This window comes from Homo sapiens, chromosome 3 (genome assembly GCF_000001405.40).
Source record: "Homo sapiens chromosome 3, GRCh38.p14 Primary Assembly".
Lineage (NCBI taxonomy): Eukaryota > Metazoa > Chordata > Mammalia > Primates > Hominidae > Homo > Homo sapiens.
Window position 1 is genome coordinate 111,948,589 of NC_000003.12, and position 20,371 is coordinate 111,968,959.

General features: G+C 37.7%; 1 protein-coding gene across 4 annotated transcripts in view, besides 1 other annotated feature; it reads left to right on the forward strand.

Moving 5' to 3' along the window:
- The window catches only part of PHLDB2 (pleckstrin homology like domain family B member 2), a 244,022-nt gene that overhangs the window by 216,093 nt on the left and 7,558 nt on the right, over positions 1–20,371 (forward strand). For all 4 annotated transcript variants that reach the window (NM_001134437.2, NM_145753.2, NM_001134438.2 and 1 more), the window contains 6 exons: positions 344–487; positions 3,984–4,124; positions 5,342–5,441; positions 13,520–13,724; positions 18,025–18,115; positions 19,090–19,236. In NM_001134437.2, coding sequence (NP_001127909.1) covers positions 344–487; positions 3,984–4,124; positions 5,342–5,441; positions 13,520–13,724; positions 18,025–18,115; positions 19,090–19,236 — 828 coding nt within the window. The remainder of the gene's footprint in view (positions 1–343; positions 488–3,983; positions 4,125–5,341; positions 5,442–13,519; positions 13,725–18,024; positions 18,116–19,089; positions 19,237–20,371) is intronic.
- Positions 8,894–9,188: a silencer, noted in NCBI's record as "tiled region #1117; HepG2 Repressive non-DNase unmatched - State 23:Low". NCBI's record gives its function as "represses a minimal TATA promoter and a strong SV40 promoter by Sharpr-MPRA in HepG2 cells {active_cell/tissue: HepG2}" and the evidence as "EXISTENCE:reporter gene assay evidence [ECO:0000049][PMID:27701403]".

The window sequence follows — 20,371 nt, forward strand, 5'->3', positions numbered from 1 at the left end:
CTATTACTTTAAATGTATATGTTGTTGACAACCTTAATCCATCAACAGAATGAATGCTGATACTTCTGGATATTTTAAAATAGAAGATTTTGGGTTATTTATACTACAGTTATCTTGATTTCATCAGAAAAATTATGTTTAATACTTAGAATGCCAATTTTCAAGATTAAGCAATGTAAATCCATTTTAATTGCTGATTATTCCTTTAATGAAACATTTGATAATACCACAGATATCTGGCTGTGCCGCTCTAAGCTAACTTCATTGTACTGGGAACATTAATACTCTCGCATGCCTCAGCTTTTGCTTTCTTTGTGTTTAACTTCTGAATTCCTCCTTTTAGGGCTATATCAGTGTAAATGAGATTAATGAGCCGTGTGGCAATTCCACGAATCTATCCCCTTCCACTCAGTTTCCTGCTGATGCTGATGCTGTTGCCACTGAGCCTGCCACAGCTGTGCTGGCGAGCCAGCCACAGAGTAAAGAGGTGTGTAGGCATGACGTTTCATTCATTCACTGCTTTTCTTCATGTCAGAAATTAACCCACGGCCAACTGAAAATGAGGTCCACGAGAACGTGCATGACAAATGTATATCTGTTTGGCCAGAGGGGTAGGGTAAGGCTGAGTTTATAAAGTATACCAATTTGGGGGTAATGCTCTGCCAATAAAAAATTCTAGAAACCATGAAATTTATGCTACGGAGTGGAGTACTAGGAGAAGTAAGTCAAAGAAATATGTTCTATGTCTTAGCACTCTAACTCAACTTAGTTTTCTTATAAATTAAAAAGCCTTTCTAAAATTGTTGATTTGAGTTGCCTTTTCAGTTTGACTTTGTTTTCGATTTTGTTTTGTAACATGGATGCTTTTAAATATTAGGCCTTTTAAAAGCCTTCTAGGGGAGGGGTCAATAATAATAAATTAAAATACCTTCAGTGATCCAAGTCGCTTACAGTGTGGGATTTTAATAAGAGGCTAAATTGAAAGATATTGCCCATCAATTGTAACTTCTTAATTAAAATATAACAAAACAGAACAAACTATCAATTTCATTTCTATGTCTTATTCTTTCATTTCATGTGGACACATATATACCTTTTCTTTCTCCTATAAAGCAAAGATCACCTGTCTATTCTGGATTTGTGTTTCCTTCCGCTCTTTCTCCTCATCCTATCACTCAACATACATCAGCCCCATGGCCTGAATTCATGGCTACATCTGTCGATCCTTTACCTTTAAATGACACACCTCCTCCTTTACCAGCTAAGAAACACAGAAGGCAGCAGCAGCAGCAGGAGCAACAGGTAATTAGGAACTGGAATTTAGAGTTTGGGAATGTTATTTTGACAACGAAATTACTTATGTGAAATCTTTTCTTCTACTTTCCCAAAGGCATTTTTAAAAAGGCAAGTTGCATACTTCTCTGATTTTTTTTTTCCTCTTAAGAACATTTAGTGTGTTCTAAGAGTGTTAGAATTGTTGTAAGGTTTTGATACCTTGAGTGTTCCCTACTGGCTTTTATATGTTTGAGCACTTTTTATACCCTCATCCTTCAGTTACCATTCAACCAAAATATTGCAACTTATCTCAGATAGTTCTCAAAATACTAGCAAGCATTTCTATAAAATCCATAGTATAAAGAGTTATCTTATCAACACAAAATATTTTTATTATACATAGTTGAAACCATAATAGACATCATTCCCTTGTTACTGTGTCAGAATTTGTTAAACGTTTTACTCCCTTAATCAGAGTACCTTTGTTTTAATCTGTTTTATAAATTTGTGTATCTCTTTACATCCTTCTAATGATCCCATGAAGTAAAAATTATCTCCATATTAAAGTTTTGGGAACTGAGGCTCAGTGAGGTTAAGTAGCTTGTCCAAGGTCACACCACAAATAGTGCATTTGGTCCATAAATCTAGTTTTTATTCACCAGATTTTTAAATAAATAATTTTTTATTCTAAGTGTTGCCTTCCTTTTAGAACACTCAGAGTACATTGATGCTTGGGTATTCAAAAAAAAAATTTGTTTTGAGACTTCCTTTCGATTATAATCAAATACCTACAGGAATTTGGTGCCAAAAGATCCTAAGGAGTCATTGCACTGATGTAGGCGAGCTCTGGTTGGTCATGCTTAGCCCTTATGTTTCTTGAAGGTACCTTTACCATCAATTACCATTTGTTAAAGGACTATATCTCTCACTGCCTTAAGGTTACTGCCACCTGGGCTGATATGAAAGGATATTGGTGAAAGGTGGATGAAGTAAGTTATGTATACAAGGAAGAAACAAGGAGAATGGAAGACCTAAATGCCTTCAATTTTGATGTTAGGTTTATTTCTTTAACAACTTCATTCAAGAAATCTCTAGTAGCAAAACAATCACAGTTTACAAACCTGCTGTTTTCTGTCAAATTTCAGTTAGACTGTGTTTTCATTGGGGTTTCTTTTCTATTTTATTAAGCTATCATTATGGAATGTTGGAAAGTTATGAATTTCAGAATTTATAATATTTGGTCATAGTGGGAGCTAGATTGAAGTGTTCTGATGTCATTTTACTATCTACAAGGAGCATTAATCAGCCAAACTGCAAAGTATTATTATCATCTTAGTATGGACTACCTGGCCATGAATTCTAGCTCTGCCGCTGTCCAGCTACATGACTTTGGCCAAGTTTATTTCACCTCTCTGCCCCCTAGATTTCTCATCTGTAATATAGAGATAGTAATAGTACCTACCTCACAGGATTATTATAATAATTTAATGAGATAACGTATATAAACCATCATACCTGGCACATAGCTCTTAATTAATTGATTAGCTAGTATAAACAGTTAATTATAAAGTTAAAATGCAGATTTTTATGATTGGCATATTTGAAGACTGTTTATAAATTTGCTAATTCAAATTTGCATTAATTTTTGTGCATTTCAAAAGCATGAGCTTTTAAAATGACTTCAAAATGATCAGACCTAAAAAATCTTTAATTAAGAAATCACTTTACTATATATATTTATGTTTTATTTCTTTAAAAAAATAAAGCAATGTTAAGATTTTGTGAAGCTAAGTGGTGGGAATATGAATATCTCTTAAATTATCCTCTATTCTTATCTATATGTTTCAAATATATTTCAGCAAAAATTTTTTTGAGCTCATTTTTGTGTTTTTTCTTTCTTTTTTTATTTTCATAGTTTTGGGGGGAACAGGTAGGGTTTGGTTACGTGGATAAGTTCTCTAGTGGTGATTTCTGAGATTTTGGTGCACCCATCACTTGAACAGGAAATCGTTTTACTGTTAAAGACATTTCTAGGGTGAGGCCAAGAAAAATTTGAGTAAGTTTCAAGTGGACAAAAATCTTGCTTTAGAAATCTGAAAAAAATTAAATAGTCCATTAGAGGATTTTTAAATATGAGAGATTACTGTAGGGGCTCCTTGGCCAAGATCTTTTTAAAAAGTAACCTAGAATGATGCCTTTTAGGGAAACTTTATGTGGATTTGGAGTGTGTTTATGTGACTGAAATATTATTACAACTTTCAAACAACTTCCCTGTTTACTCGCTTTTTCTCTTTTTCTCCTTTTCCCCCTTTCTTGTCCTCTTCTCACTGGTATCTGTGTCATCACACAGAACTGCCCGGAAGGGGAGAAAGTGCTTACGTGCTTTGTCCACTGGCTGTTCTGCCATCCACATGGCGACCATCATAATAATTTGTAAGTTGTCCTGAGGCCCCAAGGCCGCAGGCACTACAGAAGTGAAAGGTGGAATTTTTTAAAGATTTCTAGGTTCAGCATAAATTCCTACAGTGTTTAGTATCTAATCAAATACTAGCTCAAATCTATCAGTGAACACAATATATGTTGAATAACTTTAAGAAAAATTCTGTTAAAATTCCAGTTTTTTTTGTAAGTGCATAATTCTTCATTTCTTCAGTCACCTATTACAGTTAGTCAAGTTTTGCTATTTTGCTTTGCATTTGCATTTAAAGCACTTTAGAAGTCTGGAAGAAAGGAAAAAACAGCATAAAGAAGGCCTCTATCTGAGTGATACTTTGCCTCGAAAGAAAACCACATCTTCCATCTCCCCACATTTCAGCAGTGCTACTATGGGGAGAAGCATCACCCCAAAGGTAGGACCTGGGAGAAACCACGGGCTTCCCATTCCATGAGTCTTCTTGTCATTATATTCACTGATGTGTAAAGGCCTTTAAAGAAAAGTGCTAAATAATAAATCATTACATTTACTTGTTAGGCAGACATCAGGACTAAATCTCATTTTCTACCTGTTCAGAGGACATCTGAAACTGTATGCTCTGGGGCCAAAGAACATGCTTCAGGGTATTTTCTACCAGCACAACCCAGGCGATGAGTGGCATTCACTTACATGATGGACTTCCGTGGCTGCATCCCACATCTGGAGATAAGATAGGATGTAGCCTCTGTGTTCCAGGAATAACAGCAACAAATATTTATTCAGACATTTTCATGTAGCTGACGCTGGGTTGAGCCTTTTATGTGGATTGCTTCATTTGAAAATCCAGCAGCACTGGGTAGTAGACTACTGATTATTATTCCAGTTGTATGTATGGATAAACTGAGGTGTATAAGGCTAAGTGACTAACCAAGGAGCCCTCAGCTGGTATGTAGTGGAGTGGAATGTGAACCTATGCGACCTGATGCCCGCCCAAGCTCTCCCTCAGGTTCTGCCGACATGCCTGAGGGGATCATTGTGGCAAGAGAAGAGGCAGGTGTGAAGGAGGTTCTGAATGAGACAGACTTTTGAGCCCTTCCCCTGCCCTTAATCAGAGTAACTTTGTTTTAATCTGTTTTATAAATTTGTGTTTCAAGTACATTTTATCTACATGAAGGATTTTGCTATTTTTAAAAAATGCTAAAACCATTAGGGTGTTAATAGATTTCTTCAGTTTCAACCCACCGCATAACAGGGGATAAATAAAAATGGGTGCATTTGTAACAAGAGTAGCTCTTCCCTGTTCTTTTGCATGGTGCGCATGCATTCTTGGCCCTGCATCTGCCCTCTGCTCCTTATGCATGAAGAACTTTCAGCCATTCTTTCAGGTGATTTTGGACAGTGTCTTCCCCAGCTGTCTTCACTTTTGGAATTGCTGCTGTTGGAGGAAGTGCTTTGATATTGCGACTACCCTGGAACTTCTCGGGAGGGCCAGTAACTGGCCTTTACCACTTAGCATCAACAAATGAAATGCAAAGACTTACCTTCTCTGCCCTGTACACTTAGATAGGAGCTTTGGAAACAGGGATGTGGCCATTTCCTAAAGGTCCATTCAGCCTGCAGCTTGCCTGAAGTACTCCCTCCTGCTTCCCGCAGGCCCATCTGCCCCTAGGACAGAGTAACAGCTGTGGAAGTGTGCTCCCTCCCTCACTGGCAGCCATGGCCAAAGACTCAGAATCTCGGAGGATGCTCAGAGGTACGTACCTTTTAAATCAAGTGTCATGGCCTTTTGTTAAGCATTAGAATTCTTCAGGGGGAGGAAGTGAGAACAGGGGTAGGGATGATTAGAGGAGGGATCAACCAAAGGCCTAATTTTACTCTTAATGTGTTCTCTTTCGGGAGGGATATATAACTTTTCCTATTTATACATATAGCTGGTATATTTTAAACATTCCCGTTGTACTTTATAGATTTGATAGAACTCTGAAACCAGAAAGACCCCTAGAGAATTACTAACCTTCCCATTCGATTAATAGAAAGAAAAGAGAGACCAGTGAGATCCAAGGAGATTACCAGGGCACTTAACCAAGATCACTCACCTGGGTTGTGTCTGAGCCACTATGTCGAATGAACCTTGTGCTAAAGAATCATTGAGCTGACACAGCAAATATAGCATTAGTGGCCCAGAACAGAATTCTTATAGGCCTTTTAATGTAGATTTGAGCTTTTATACTTCATAGTTGTTATGTTTCAGGTAGACTTTGACTCTCAGCATTTTTTTTTGTAGTAATACATTACATTTATAATGGGATTCTCAGATAGTCTTCATGGGGCTAGAAGAAATTACTGTAATGTAGTTCCAGGGCTAAGCTTCCTGTTGAGAGGATTAGATTTCTTGTGTTAACACAATAGTTTAAGTCAACAAGTTACATTGCCCTAACTTTTGAGCAGGCACGATGCTAGGTGCCAAGAATGCAAATGAATGATAGGAAGCTTGCCTTTGAAATGTTTATAGTCTATTGAGGAAGAAAGACACAGAACAGATGATTTCAATAAAATGTGGTAAATGAAATAATGGCGGTATGCCCAGGATATAAATGGAAATGCTTTGGGGATGGCAGGCATTTGGCCTTCAAATACATTCATGCAGTGATGGGATTCAAATCCTCCCCTCTAAGCAGGCTGGAATTCGATTCTAGCTCTTTGGCCTCTCTGCCAATGGTACTGAGAGATAACACTGGTTTTCCATCAGGGGAAAATATATATATACACACACACACACACGCACATATATGTAATACATATATGCTACATATACATACATAAATTTATATATATGTGCACATAATGTGTATTGTGTATGTATATATGATATATATATATATATCTCTCACTGGAACGAGGTTTTCAAATCATTACTAAAGGCGATTTAAAAATTAGAGGGTATAGTATTCATAATAGGTTTATAATGTGTAAGAGACATTTGCAGTGGTAATATTTGAATCAAATAAACTGATTGAACTATTTTATTTTCTTTGCCATAATTTCTTAATAAGCTAAACATATTCTTTTGATGTTTATAAATAATAAACATAAATCCATCTATTTTGGCTCTCATTTATCACTGTTAAGTTGTGGGTCAAGTCTATTTGCTGTTGAAACATTTTTCTGTAATATTTACATATAAATATTTGAGACAAGGTCTCACTCTGTTGTCCAGGCTGGAATGCAGTGGTGTGTGATTATAGCTCACTGCAAACTCTGCCACCTGGGTTCAAGTGATCCTCCCACCTCAGCCTCTCGAGTAAGCTGGAACTATAGGTGTGTGCTACCACACCTGGCTGATTTTTGTATTTTTTGGCAGAGATGGGTTTTTGTCATGTTTCCCAGGATGGTCTCGACCTCCTGGGCTCCAGTGATCTCCCACCTTGGCCTCCCAAAGTGCTGGGATTACAGGCATGTATTAGACTTCTTTTTAAATATATTTTTCCCACCGTCGGAAGACATCAAAGCTTAGATTGGCCACAACACCAACAAAGACCATTAAGCATTTTCATGTACTTCAGGTGTTTAATTGAAAGAGCAAGCATTTGGGAAAGAGGGTGGGATCACAAATTACTATACTCCATGTTAAAAGCATTTTCTTGCCAGGTGTGGTGGCTCATGCCTCTACTCTCAGCACCTTGGGAGGCTGAGGAGGGAAGATTGCTTAAGAATTTGAGACCAGCCTGGGCAACATAGTGAGATCCCATCTCTACAAGTAATTTAAAAATTAGCCAGGCATGGTGGCATGCACCTGTGGTCCCCACCACTCAGGAGGCTGAGGTAGGAGGATCGCTTGAGCCTGGGAGTCAAGGCTGTAGTGAGCTGCCATCATGCCACTACACTACAGCCTAGGCAACAGAGCAAGACCCTGTCTCAAAAAATAAATTAATAAATAAAAGTATTTTCTCAAAGAGTAAGAAAAACTAGAACTTTATAGTAAATAAATAGATTAGCAAAACTCAAGAGCCATTAACATTACCATTTAAGAGGATTTTGTGAGAATATGGTGAAACCGAGGGAAGGTTTGATCTCAGTTATTCTAATCTGTTTTCCCCTGAAGTAATGGGAATCCCATGCCAGTTTCATAGAGGAAAACTGAGCTAATTCCCTTAGGCCACATTACTGATGTTCCCGTTGCAAAATCAAATCTGTCTTTGATTTATCTTTAGTGCTCTTGTTCTTTATTGATACGTCCTTTATGCAGCTCAGAAGACTGCAACTTCAGTCTTTCTCTGCTGTAACTGTGAAGTGCTCTTCCTCTTGAAGAGTTTCATGTAATTCTGATGGGGCAGCTTCTGAGGAAATAAAGAACCATTATATGCGTGTTGGTCCAAGGAGATGTGTTCTGAAAAGACAGCCTGCTGCCTTTGGCTCCCCTACCCAGAGGAGGAGAAGTCAGGGTCTATAGTTCTTAGAACCCCAGCAGACTGTAAAACTGGCAGGATTTTCTACACAGCCCAAACTGGTGGTTCACAAAAAACCCAGGAGGGATGGATCATAATTTCATTTAGAATTGTTTGACTAGCACTTGTTAACTTTATTAAAATAGCAAATACAAGTAAAATTCTATGGATTTGAAAAAAATTATACCTGGCATATTTTCACTAACTCACATTTAGTAGACTTTAATCATCTTTTAAACTTACACAATTAACTTAAATACACCTTTTTTTGCTGCTATTCGTAATGGATACATCAAGGATGATGGTGTAAGTATAAGCCTTAATCAGCACTGTTAATAGAACTGACAGCGTGAGTCGTGCAAAGAACTTTGAGAGGAGAGTTTAAAACAGAGAGCTGAGAAACTCAGCTTCTGAAGTTGGAATGGTTATTGGCTTTTGAACAACTTGTGAACTATTCCTTTGTCAGCTTTAGAATGAATGAAATCTTTGTCCTTTTGTTTTTTGTTAAATACAGGAAAGTCCAAGAAAGGTATGACAACCTCCTTGTGTGGTGTTTTTGTTTCCAGCAAATATTGAAAGGTCATTGTCAAGTCATGTTTAAGAAATGATCAGATTTAACACTGTGCAGTGGTGGATTTTTAGTCTAATGATTATTTCTTTTACACAATAGAGAAAAATTGTTGCACATTTGCAAGAAACACAATGCTGGGTGCAGCTGCTGTTCATTCACTGGCAGCTGCATGACCCTCTTTGTTTTGGCTTTTAATCGCAAGGTCAGACCCTGCAGGAAACATGAGTGCTGTGGAAGCATTGTTTTGTAAGATTCAGGATCTATATAAAGAGAATAGAGGGTATTGTGATGTATATGAGCTAAGTGTAAACCATGATTCTCCTTTAAAAAGGACAGGTATAAATAAGTCAGGCTACAGTCAAAGGATGAAAGGATTTAGGAAGCTCCTACTTATTCATTTCATTGGAGCCTGTTTTCTAAGAAAGACTTAGTGGAGAGTGAAGTATAGTTTAAATGATTGGCTTGAATAAGTAAGATGGTTATTTCCTGTGGCTAGGTGGTAGAGATGTAGGATGTTAGACGATGTGTTATAAAACTTGATGAACTGTGCTTCAAATAATTGAATGGCATTTTACAAACTTGAGCTCTTAAAAACTATTTGCTATTGTCTGTTTGGAAAAAGAATTGTTTGATAGATATAATCTGTTTTTATTCTTCCTATTTTCTGGTTGATGAATATGTGTGAAAGATTTATTTGTCTTGTAACAGTCTTTTTTGACTATGCATGTATCAATTTTTTTTAAGGTTTCTTGAGTTTTTCTCTGTAAACTTGGATTTAATCTGAAACTGTGAACATCATACCTTGTTAATTTGCTATTGTAACTAACACCATCAATGAGTGCATGTTGGAAGTGTTGTATGTTTTTCCTGCCCCCTTGTCATCCTTTTTGATCTTGTATCTTTTTCCCTTTCTACAATCATTCTCCCTCTTCATTCCTGACTTGTCCTGTGCCCTCTTCTTCTGGCTGTGGACTGTCATTAGGAAGAATGAATTCCTCAGCAGGTGAGCTATGACAGGCTGAATTGTTAGAAATACTGGTTAATTTTATCCTCTTAACCCCAGGTTATACTTTAAGTCATCTTACTTTCTATATTACAGCCCAGATAGCCATGTAAAAGTATATACCACATATTGGGAATGTATTGGCAGGACTCTACACATTGTGTAATCGTTAACTCACAAGAGACTTTTCAGGTCCAATTAGCCAGAATTAATAGAGACTGGCATTAAAAATAATAATAATAAATGGGCCTTGCACATTTGGTCCCTTGGCTGTCCCAGGCAGTGAAGAGCTGAACTGGTTTGGGTTCCTTGTGTGGCTATGATTAGAAACAAGCCTCAATTAGGTCTTGCTTTATACACCTTATAAACTACCCCTTCAAACAGCTATTTCTCTCTGGATAGGAAGGATTTAGAGCATTTTCAAGGCCCTTTTTACTGTTTTAGTTGCTTTCCCACTGATTAATGTTATTCTTGCTACATAATTAAAAAACAGAAACCAAATAGTCTCAGGGGTTGGGAAAGTCTCATTTTTCCCAATCTTGTTTCTTTGCTCCCCCTCAAAAAGTAGATGCATTCCACTTCCTTATTTGACTATTTATATAGAATATATAGATGAAAAGATAAATTCATTCAGTGACTGTTTATCTTATGACATCCACATGCCAAATAAATGGAGGTAAACTGTGGTGCACAGGACATCTGCATCCCCTTTCCTGATAAAGCTTCAATGAGAGTGGAGGCCTAGGCCAGTTTACTGCCATTCTAGTGTTCCTTCACTGCACCAGCATCTCTCCTTGGGCCTCCTACCAGGTTACCCAGCCCCGTCCCCTGATCTTCTATGACGTTTCCTCTGTTTAAAATATCTATGCCTTTGGATGGCCAGGCCAGAGCCTGAATCCCAAAATGAGCTCTTTGGAATCACACTGGTTCAATTGCAGGATCACAGGAGAGGGGCCCATGCCCGTATTGATAATTGCAGGGGTTACCTGTTTTTGGGGGATTTGTTCAGCAGGGAGGAAGCTAGGCCAGGTGACAGTGGGGTTCACTGAGGTCAGTAAAGTGTTGCCAGTAGGCAGAAATGAGTAGCTCCATGAGGTGAACTTTTCCACTCACTTTGGATTCATGGGAAATAAAAATCATGGGTTGGGAAAAAGATGCTTATTATTGGCCTCATGCTTTTTCGTTTAAGTTGCCATGAAAATGTAAAATGCTTATCCTACCACCAGAATGACTGGGAGATTCAGTCGTAGAGTCAAACCTCAACAACTTGTGAGTTGGTCTGGGGAATTAATATTCACAACCCTTAGCACAGTACAAATTGTAATGTAGCTGGCCCTTCTACATTCACCTGAAACATCTGAGTCATTTTAGTTTACTATCTCCTTCACCTGTAAGTTCTATTTTGTTATTCTGTGTTACTTTTGGAAAAGTAGCCGAAAAACAACAACAACAAAAAACACAACCTTGGAAGATCTGAGGAGCAAGACATACAGTTCCCTTAAGAAACATGCTCACCTTCTTTCCTGCTTTTCCAAGATGGTGGTAATTGCTTCATATGGGTTGGTTTTTCCTCAATGTGAAAACTCAGGGAGAGGAAGAGGTTGTGGCAATGTCACTCATTGCCAGAGAGATAATTCTTGTATGTTTTAAATTACATGGCTGTCCTTTAGGGATTTGTTTTTCATACTACAAGGAAATATCGTCCATGTAGTTGGTGCCAATGTGAAACTTTTCTATGCCACAAGCCTTTTTTTGAAATCATAAGAAAATATACGTGTGTGAGCTTTTCAAATAATTTCTGTTGTTTTTTTGTCATTTGCATAATAAATAATTGGAAACAACTTAAAAGGAGCAATTAGTAATTCCAAAAGTTCAAGTATCAAAGGTAAATATTTGAGTAATGAATTATTTCGCCTTCCTTAAAAAAAGACGCAGCTTCACGCATGTGACTATACCAGCTTCATTTAATGCTGTGTGGATTGATCATTATAATTCATGACATTCTATTTAGTCTTGTGGTGTGCTTTTATGTTTTCCATCTTCCCTTAGCTAAATGCTATATGGCTTTAAAAAATACATATGTATTTATAATTTATAATGGCAGATTATATTAAAGTAACTTATTTTCCCAGAAATGTCTGAATCTGAAATAACCTATTTTCACTTAAATATCTAAAACCACTCCAAATACTAATGGTGTGAATACTCTGCATGAAACTAAAACCATTTTACAGAAATTTTGACATACAATGCTTTGTTAAGGCATCATGGATGTGGCTTCTATTTTTAAATGGAAATGTTTAATCAATAGCTGAGAAAGCCATTGAGAATTACTTCTCTTCTTTCATCCTCTTGCCTACTATTGACCATTTCATTATTACTAAAACTTTCATTGAAAGGTAGGTAGAGCACACAAAAAAGAGGAAATTCAAATGGTCCAGTTGTGAACTCTGAATAGCTCTGGTAATAACTCCCTGGGTAATGGAAACTATTCGAGTAGACATTCTCTTATCAGGGAGAAAGAGATTACAAACTCTAGTACTGGCTAGAGAAAAGTTTTTTAATGAATGGAGGAATTTGTTAATCAATATGATGCCTGCTTCTGAGTCTATGATAAATAGAGAATTGAAAAGAAAATTTGACTTGTAATGCCCTAAATCAGCGATCAGAGAGCAAGCCATAGCAGTAACACAAGGTAAAGCCAGTAACCTAAAGTGCCAGGTGACCGAGCACCAGGGTAAAGAAAAGACCTCTTGGCCGGGCACGGTGGCTCACGCCTGTAATCCCAGCACTTTGGGAGGCCGAGGCAGGCAGATCACAAGGTCAAGAGATCAGGATAATCCTGGCCAACATGGTGAAACCCCGTCTCTACTAAAAATACAAAAGTTAGCTGAGTATGGTGGTGCACTCCTGTAGTCCCAGCTACTTGGGAGGCTGAGGCAGGAGAATTGCTTGAACCCAGGAGGTGGAGGTTGCAGTGAGCTGAGATTGTGCCACTGCACTCCAGCCTGGTGACAGAGCATGACTCCGTCTCAAAAAATAAAAATAAAAAATAAAGACCTCTTATTTATGGTGCTTTTCGTCCTACTGATGCCTACATTTTCAAATGGTTGTTATCAACAGCTTGTGGAAGGCTGATTGTTATGATGGGAAAAGAAGAGAGCTAGGGTAATTACGAGGAGCACAGTCATTGGAAGGAATGTTGACTCTGAATTAAATAAGTAATTGACAGACAAGAACAACTGAAAAAGAGAGAGAGAGAAAATGGGAAAAATGTGTAGTTTGGATCTTAACAAGATTAAAAGTGTCAGTGATGATATGAGATACGAGTTTCTGAAATCCTACACTTGAAAGATTCCACCTGCTTTTTTATGACCAGACTGAGTGCTCCTTAAGTTGAATACCATTGAAGAAGTGCCTGCCCTAAAACCCTGGTTTTGCTTGTCACTAGGAGGCATCTTATTTTCACTTGAACACAGCTATTTCTAGAGGATTCAGGGCCTTTGATTGTGTTTCTGTTTGGTTTCTTTTGTGTTTGTGTGTTGCTGGTTGTGCTGAGATGTAGGAATGCCATAGGAAAGTGTCAAGTGATCCTGCTGAGGGGTAAGAGACTCAGCAGACCACTTCATTCAAACTGTTGCTTGCACTGAGCACGGTGCTCTTTCTTTGATCTTCTTGGCTTCAAAACAAATTAGACCAAGGCCCAAGCTTCATAGGCAGATGTTTCTGGTTGCTGGCTTGTGTCTGTAGATGTTTAAGATTCAAAGACTGAAAAATGAGGCAAACTAACATATTTATGGCTCCTTCCTTAGGTTATAATCACCAACAGATGAGTGAAGGACACAGGCAGAAATCTGAATTTTATAACCGCACAGCATCTGAATCAAATGTCTACTTGAATAGTTTCCATTATCCAGATCACAGCTACAAGGACCAGGCCTTTGATACTCTGAGCCTCGATAGCTCTGATAGCATGGAGACCAGCATCTCTGCTTGCTCACCAGACAACATCTCTAGGTAAGATTTATTTATGGGTAAGGTTTCTGGTTTGGAAAAGAGCCTACTGCTCACAAAAAGTAAAGCCATCAATTTGGGAACTGTATATGCACAAGCCCAAATTTTTGAGACATAAAGGGTCTGTAATGCAGAAGAGGGTTGGTATCATGATGGCCTTTGAAAGTAGTTTCTCTTATCTTGTGTAACTTAGCTAGTCAGGCATCATATAATCTGTTTCCACCTTTATCCTGTTTTTCTCCACTTGAGCTCAAATTTACACTGTGCTTTAAAATTGATTTCCTTCTGTTGGTTAGCTCTAAGCTTCACTTACACTGCTTTTGATTTAAAAAAGAGGGCCCAGGCACAGTGGCGCATGCCTGTAATCCCAGCTACTTTGGGAGGCCAAGGTGAGTGGATCACCTGAGGTCAGGAGTTCAAGACCAGCCAGACCAACATGGTGAAACCCTGTCTCTACTAAATACAAAAAATTAGCTGGGCATGGTGGCGCATGCCTGTAATCTCAGCTACTCAGGAGGCTGAGGCAGGAGAATCCCTTAAACCCGGGAGGCGGAGGTTACAGTGAGCCAAAACTGTGCCATTGCACTCCGGCCTGGGCAACAAGAGTGAAACTCCATCTCAAAAAAAAAAAAAAAAAAAAGAAAGAAAGAAAAAGAAAAGGAATGATTTCCAACAGCAGTCAGAACTTTGGAGGATTTCTTACCCTTGTATTTGTTAAAAGGAAGCTTTTTGCTATTCTGTATGTTAAAATTTTTGTAAGGATTTAAGTGTTCACGTTTGTATTTATACTTTGAGACAAGCAAAGGTGGTCTTAACATATAAATCTGGCCATGGTGCTCCTCCTTTTCTAAAGTTTTGATGTCCCACTACCTACTGTCAGATCCCGGAACCTGGCACTCTAGGTCCAGCCCAACTCCCGTTCATTCTCCCGATAAACCTCACAGAGCTTAATGATTGAGAGGATGAAGAACTCTCCCATCTCTGTGCCTTTGACTGTACTGGTTCTTAACATTTTCTCAAAGGATAGGCACAAAGTCAGGGCTTAGTAAGTTAATAATGATAATAGTAATAATAAGTATCTGTGTAGGTAGTATTCAGAATACTCTTCTATAAGCCAGTTTAATAATTTTAGCAGAATGGAGATTGTATGCAGAATTAACTCTCAATTGTCTGTTTTCTGTGACCCAAGACCTATTTTCTGAGCATTATGTTTGTCTACACTGTAAATAATGATATTGAAAGAGCAAAAACATTGTCTGACTCATGTAACTTTCTGGTAGTCATAAAGTGATGTCTCAACAAAAAGTGAAGGGCAAATGTACCCACAACTCTGAGTAATCCTATCATCCTACAAATATTTTTTTGTGACATAATAAACCACGAGACCAAGTTTGTGTGACTAGAATTTCAGCATGGAATTACCTCATTAATAGGCTTATAATTTGGGAATATTTTAGTACATAAGTTAAAAACAAATCTTAAGCAGAAAAGATTTTTTAGTTTTTTACTCTTCTTTCTACCAATGTTCAAAAAATTTCCAATTAAGGATGCTTTATCAAAATACACATTCCAAACATTGGTTCCTCATTACCTGCTTCCCTGATGTTTATCACTTATTTTCCATCATAATAATGGGTAAGAGCTTATCTTAGAGTATCATAAATTTTGTTTTAAAGTTGATGGTAGTACAGAAGAGAAATGCCTGTTTTTCTCTCCCCTTTGCACTCCACCTTTTACAGGCATCTTCTACTTTGGCTCCAATTTTTTGACATTCAGAAGATCTCATAAGACAATGACATTAAATACTATTAGTAGTTTCTGACCATGGGGATTAGTTATCTGCAGTTGCCAGCACCACAGAGTCAGTTTTGTGTAAAGCAACTGTGGAAAATGATCATGGCCACACGTAACTACTTGTCAGGAATTACCATCCTGCAATAGTGCTATCATAGAATTAAGGGACAAATGTGTCTCACCACACACACACACACACACAAAAGGTAACTACATGAGGTGATAAATGTGTTGGTATTATTATTATTATTTTTGAGACAGAGTCTCACTGTGTTGCCCAGGCTGGTGTGCAATGGTGCAATTTCAGCTCACTGCAACCTCTGTCTTGCAGGTTCAAGCAATTCTCTCGTCTCAGCCTCATGAGTAACTGAGATTACAGGTACCCACCACTACACCTGGCTAATTTTTTTTTTTTTTTAGTAGAGAAGGGGTTTCACCATGTTGGCCAGGCTGGTCTTGAACTCCTGACCTCAGGTAATCCACCCAACTTGGCCTCCCAAAGTGCTGGGATTACAGGCGTGAGCCACGTTAATTAGCTTGATTGTAGTAATCATTGCACAATGTATGCATACATCAAAACATCATGTTATATACCATAAATATATGCAAATTTAATTTGTCAAGTATATGTATGCTCAATAAATCTCATGGTGGGGGCAGGAGGGAAGACATGTAAGCAAAGAAAATGGTAAACAGTGAAATCTAAATAAACATTGACTATATGAAAAAAAGGGATAAATGGGGATTAGGCTATTGGTGAGTTTGTTTTGACTAACTGGTGAGTTTTCAAGACCTGAAACTTAGTGAAATTCAAATTATTTTCAAATTAATGAGAGATATAAAACATACATATTTGATGTCACAAACTACACTATAGAATATAAATATAATTTTATGCCCTTATACGTCCTGCATGCCTGTCTTTGGCTTTCTCAGTTGGGGCAATGAAGTTTATCCCTTTCCACCCATGAAGTCAGGTATTCACAATGAAGGAGAATAAGAATTCCTGTACAAAAATTAAAAGATTTCTTTCCCTTGGATTCTTGCTAGCTGAAGAGAACAGAACTTACTCTTTTGTATCTCCTCACTGGCTAATGGAAATAATGAGAAGATACTGCCATGTTCTTCTCTTTCATGTGGGAGAAAACACCTGGCTAAAAAGTGGTTCAAGGTTACTCTGCAAAGTGCAGCCTAATTGTTAAGCTTATAAGGATCCGGTATTCCTAAGACAGTTCACTCCTTAATGGATGTGTTTTGTAATGGGGCTGTCAGTACTGATTATAGAATAAACTGTATGCCCTGTGTTCTCTTCAACAGAACTCTTAGCCCTAGATTTAAACCATCCTAGGTTTGATTTACAAAAATATAATTTGAGAATACTATATTAATAAGTATCTATAACCAAGAGGTCTCTGATTCTTCATTTTTATATGAATTTTTAATGAATTTATTTTTATATGAATGTGTCTAACAAACATGTATCCCTACTCTATGCCAGGTTCTATGCTACAGGGATACAGGCACGAAAGTCTGTCTGTATGTCCTCAAGAGAGTCTAGTAAAGAAGGCAGGTACTTAAATGAGTACAAAAGTACACATGCATTACAAATAGCATATGGTTTCCATAGCTGAAACAGCAAAGTAAATAAGTTTTGACCTAGGTTATAGTCTCTCTTTTCCAGAACAGTCAAATAGAATGTAAGCGGTGGAAAATAAAATTTCCTGTTTTGTGTTAAACATTTTCAAGTTTTCACTTTGTCTGTTAGTTACCCTGACTGTTCTTGCACCTTTCACTCCCTTTGGTTTCATCTTTCACTTGAGTGATGTCTTTTCCATCATTTCTTTTGAAGCTCTTAAATCTCTTTATACAGTTTTCTCATTGGTATCATGAGGGGGTACTCTTCACAAAACTGGCCACTATCCATCCATTGCACCTATAGGAGAAGTCATGTTTTAATTGGCATCATGATTTAATAAATAAAGTGTCCACACATATAAAGGGACAACAAAAAGTAGCTCATAATACATATTCCACAACTGAATAAAGTGACTCCAAACATTAGGTGTCATTTATATAGAACGTTGGTGATAGTCTTGTTGGTCTGATATCTTTAAGTCATTAAACTAATGGGAAGGACTCTCATGGGTCATTATTTTTAGACTTTGGAGGAAGCATTTAGAAGTCACACTTTGTAAGATTTGGTTTTGGTTTATTTACCTATGAGTAAAGCATTAGCATTATTTTGCTTGCCTATATTTTGTCTTCTAAACTGAGGTAAGTCAGTGTCACCTACAATTCTCAGAGTTGAATTGATTTGCCTCTTCGGTCCAATGACTCGTAAGTAACATTCTTTAAATTATATATGCTTGGATTTTGTTATGCACCTCCCTTGACCCCATGTGTGTGTGTGTGTGTGTGTCTGGGGTGTGTGTGTGTGTGTGTGTGTATGTATTAGAGAGACTTCTCAGTCTAAACCAATATTCTCAAAAGGCTTTGGTGTTTCATTCAGTGCCAGCACTTCAAATATTGCTAGAATAGAAGAAATGGAGAGACTTTTGAAGCAGGCTCATGCAGAAAAGACGCGGCTGCTCGAATCCAGGGTAAGCTTCATATTTTCATGCCGGAGGTCTGTGATACCGTGGTGCAGGAGCCCTGCGCTTGGCATCAGACAATACTCCTCCTTAAGGAGCCGTGTGTTCCTGGAATAAATCACTCAACCTTTCTCAGTCTCATTTTCTTATCTGAAAAATAAAGGTGTTAGATGATTTCTAAGGCTCTCTACTGCAGTGGATTTTCCATAACTTGAAATATATATATAGTATTGACATAGACCGAAATGAACACTTTGTGTTTTTTTGTGTGTGTTTTTTTTTTGTTTTTTGTTTTTGTTTTTTGTCTTTTGATGGCTGTTTTGTGTTCCTGCCAAGGAGCAGGGAGGAATGTCATGTCTTTATGCATTATTTCTTCCTTCCCAGCTTGTGCTAACTGCACTATTTTAATATTTAAAATCCCACGTTTTTATGACTGTATTTCAAGTCAGAATCTGACTTCCTTAGGAATCCCCCAAAATGCCTTTGCATCCTGCCCTGAAGGGCACCTCCTTTCCTTTTCTAACTTCCCCACGTGCTTCCTCTGTGACCTTCAGCCAGGAAACTACAGAGCAACAACAGGAATTAGAGGGACCATGGCCTTCAGTTAGAAGACAGTAGTCAAAAGACAGGCTAAATCACGTGATAAGTGCTAAAGTACAGTTTGTGAGGCTTTTTATTTAAAATGGGAGAGTTGCTGGTTGATATGAAATGATGAAATGACTGAATATATTAACAAGCTGGATTTTCACTGAAGACCACAATTTAATTGTTAATTAAATTTAGTGGTTGCATTTCTGCAGATGATGATTTTGGAAGCTATACCAGGCATGGTTATGAGTTGTTTTCTTGTAGGTTATGTATTATAAGAGACTAGTCTACAAACCAAGATTTGTCTAGTAAGAATTGTCTTTTTTATATTGATTGGAACCATTCAAGTATAACCAGTATGTTTTAAAATAATCATTGTTATGCATAATGTTTAGGAACGGGAAATGGAAGCCAAAAAACGAGCCCTGGAAGAAGAAAAACGACGCCGGGAAATCCTGGAAAAACGATTACAGGAAGAAACTAGCCAGAGGCAGAAGTTAATAGAAAAGGAAGTAAAAATAAGGGAGAGACAAAGGGCACAGGTTGGTCGGTCAATCTGAATGCATATGGGCAGGTTGCCCCCTGGTGGCAGTTCCTAGAAGACAGCTGTTCTGTGTCTGAGGATGCTTTCCTGGGCACTGAGCATTAGCACTTGACATGTAAGGGTTAAGAGAAGAGTGTGCATTCCTGTGCAAAAAAAAAAAAAAAAAAAAAAAATGTGAGTTCATTTCAAAACTCTTAGGGAACCACCAACCAAATGACACTTTTCTTTAGTCATGCATGGAACGTTTTGCCAGGAGCAGCACTTTTTCTTCCACCCATTCCTTGGAGTACATTTTAAAAAGAGAATCTTTTTTGAGCAGCTTTTAAAAATGCACCTGGATTTGCTGCTGAAAACAAATACAACATTTGAACTGAAACCTTTGCTTGGGGAATGGAAGAGGTCCTACTAAGCCATCTTTTACAAGCAAACAGTCTAGAGCAGTGTAATTTTTCACCAAGTCCAGTGTCTTTGTCATGGTGGTAGTGTTTTGTCTTTTTTCTGAGCACTGTATTGTCACATGTGTTCCCTTTGCTACAGTAGTCCTCAACACCTGTGCACAAGCTTGTTGTATTCAAGCAAAGTTTGGAGAAACCACACATTTTATTTAATGTCTTATCTTGGTCATCATAGAATTTGAATCTCTGTTCTTGTCACTATAGCTGCTTACATAATATGTTTTCTGAGCAACTAACATAAAGTTTTGTTAAGTACTATGTAATTTAAAGCTGAACTCTATTTTATCAAGATTCACTAGACTCAAAGGCAAAAGATACCATTACTTTTATTCTTTGTGGTTGCTGGCCATTTGATAGTATAGCAGTTAGAGACTATCTTTAAGACTTTGTATGCTTTGAGGTATCAGTAAGCCTGCAGCATCTGTTACAACCAAAGTACCACATAATCAAACGTTAAGTATTGAAGGAAAAGTAGAAAGTAAAATTTGTTTATTTTATTTCATCATGCCCAACGCTCTGCCAAATTTTGACTTGCAGTGAAAGTCATCCATGCGTGTTTACTATCTGAAGCCAAACCAAAAAGCACAATTCTATTTTAATCCTGATTATAAGTGTTGCCTCCAAGTATATAATTAGGTCATTTCCCCGAGGCAAAGAGGTGGGGTTATTTAACAGCAT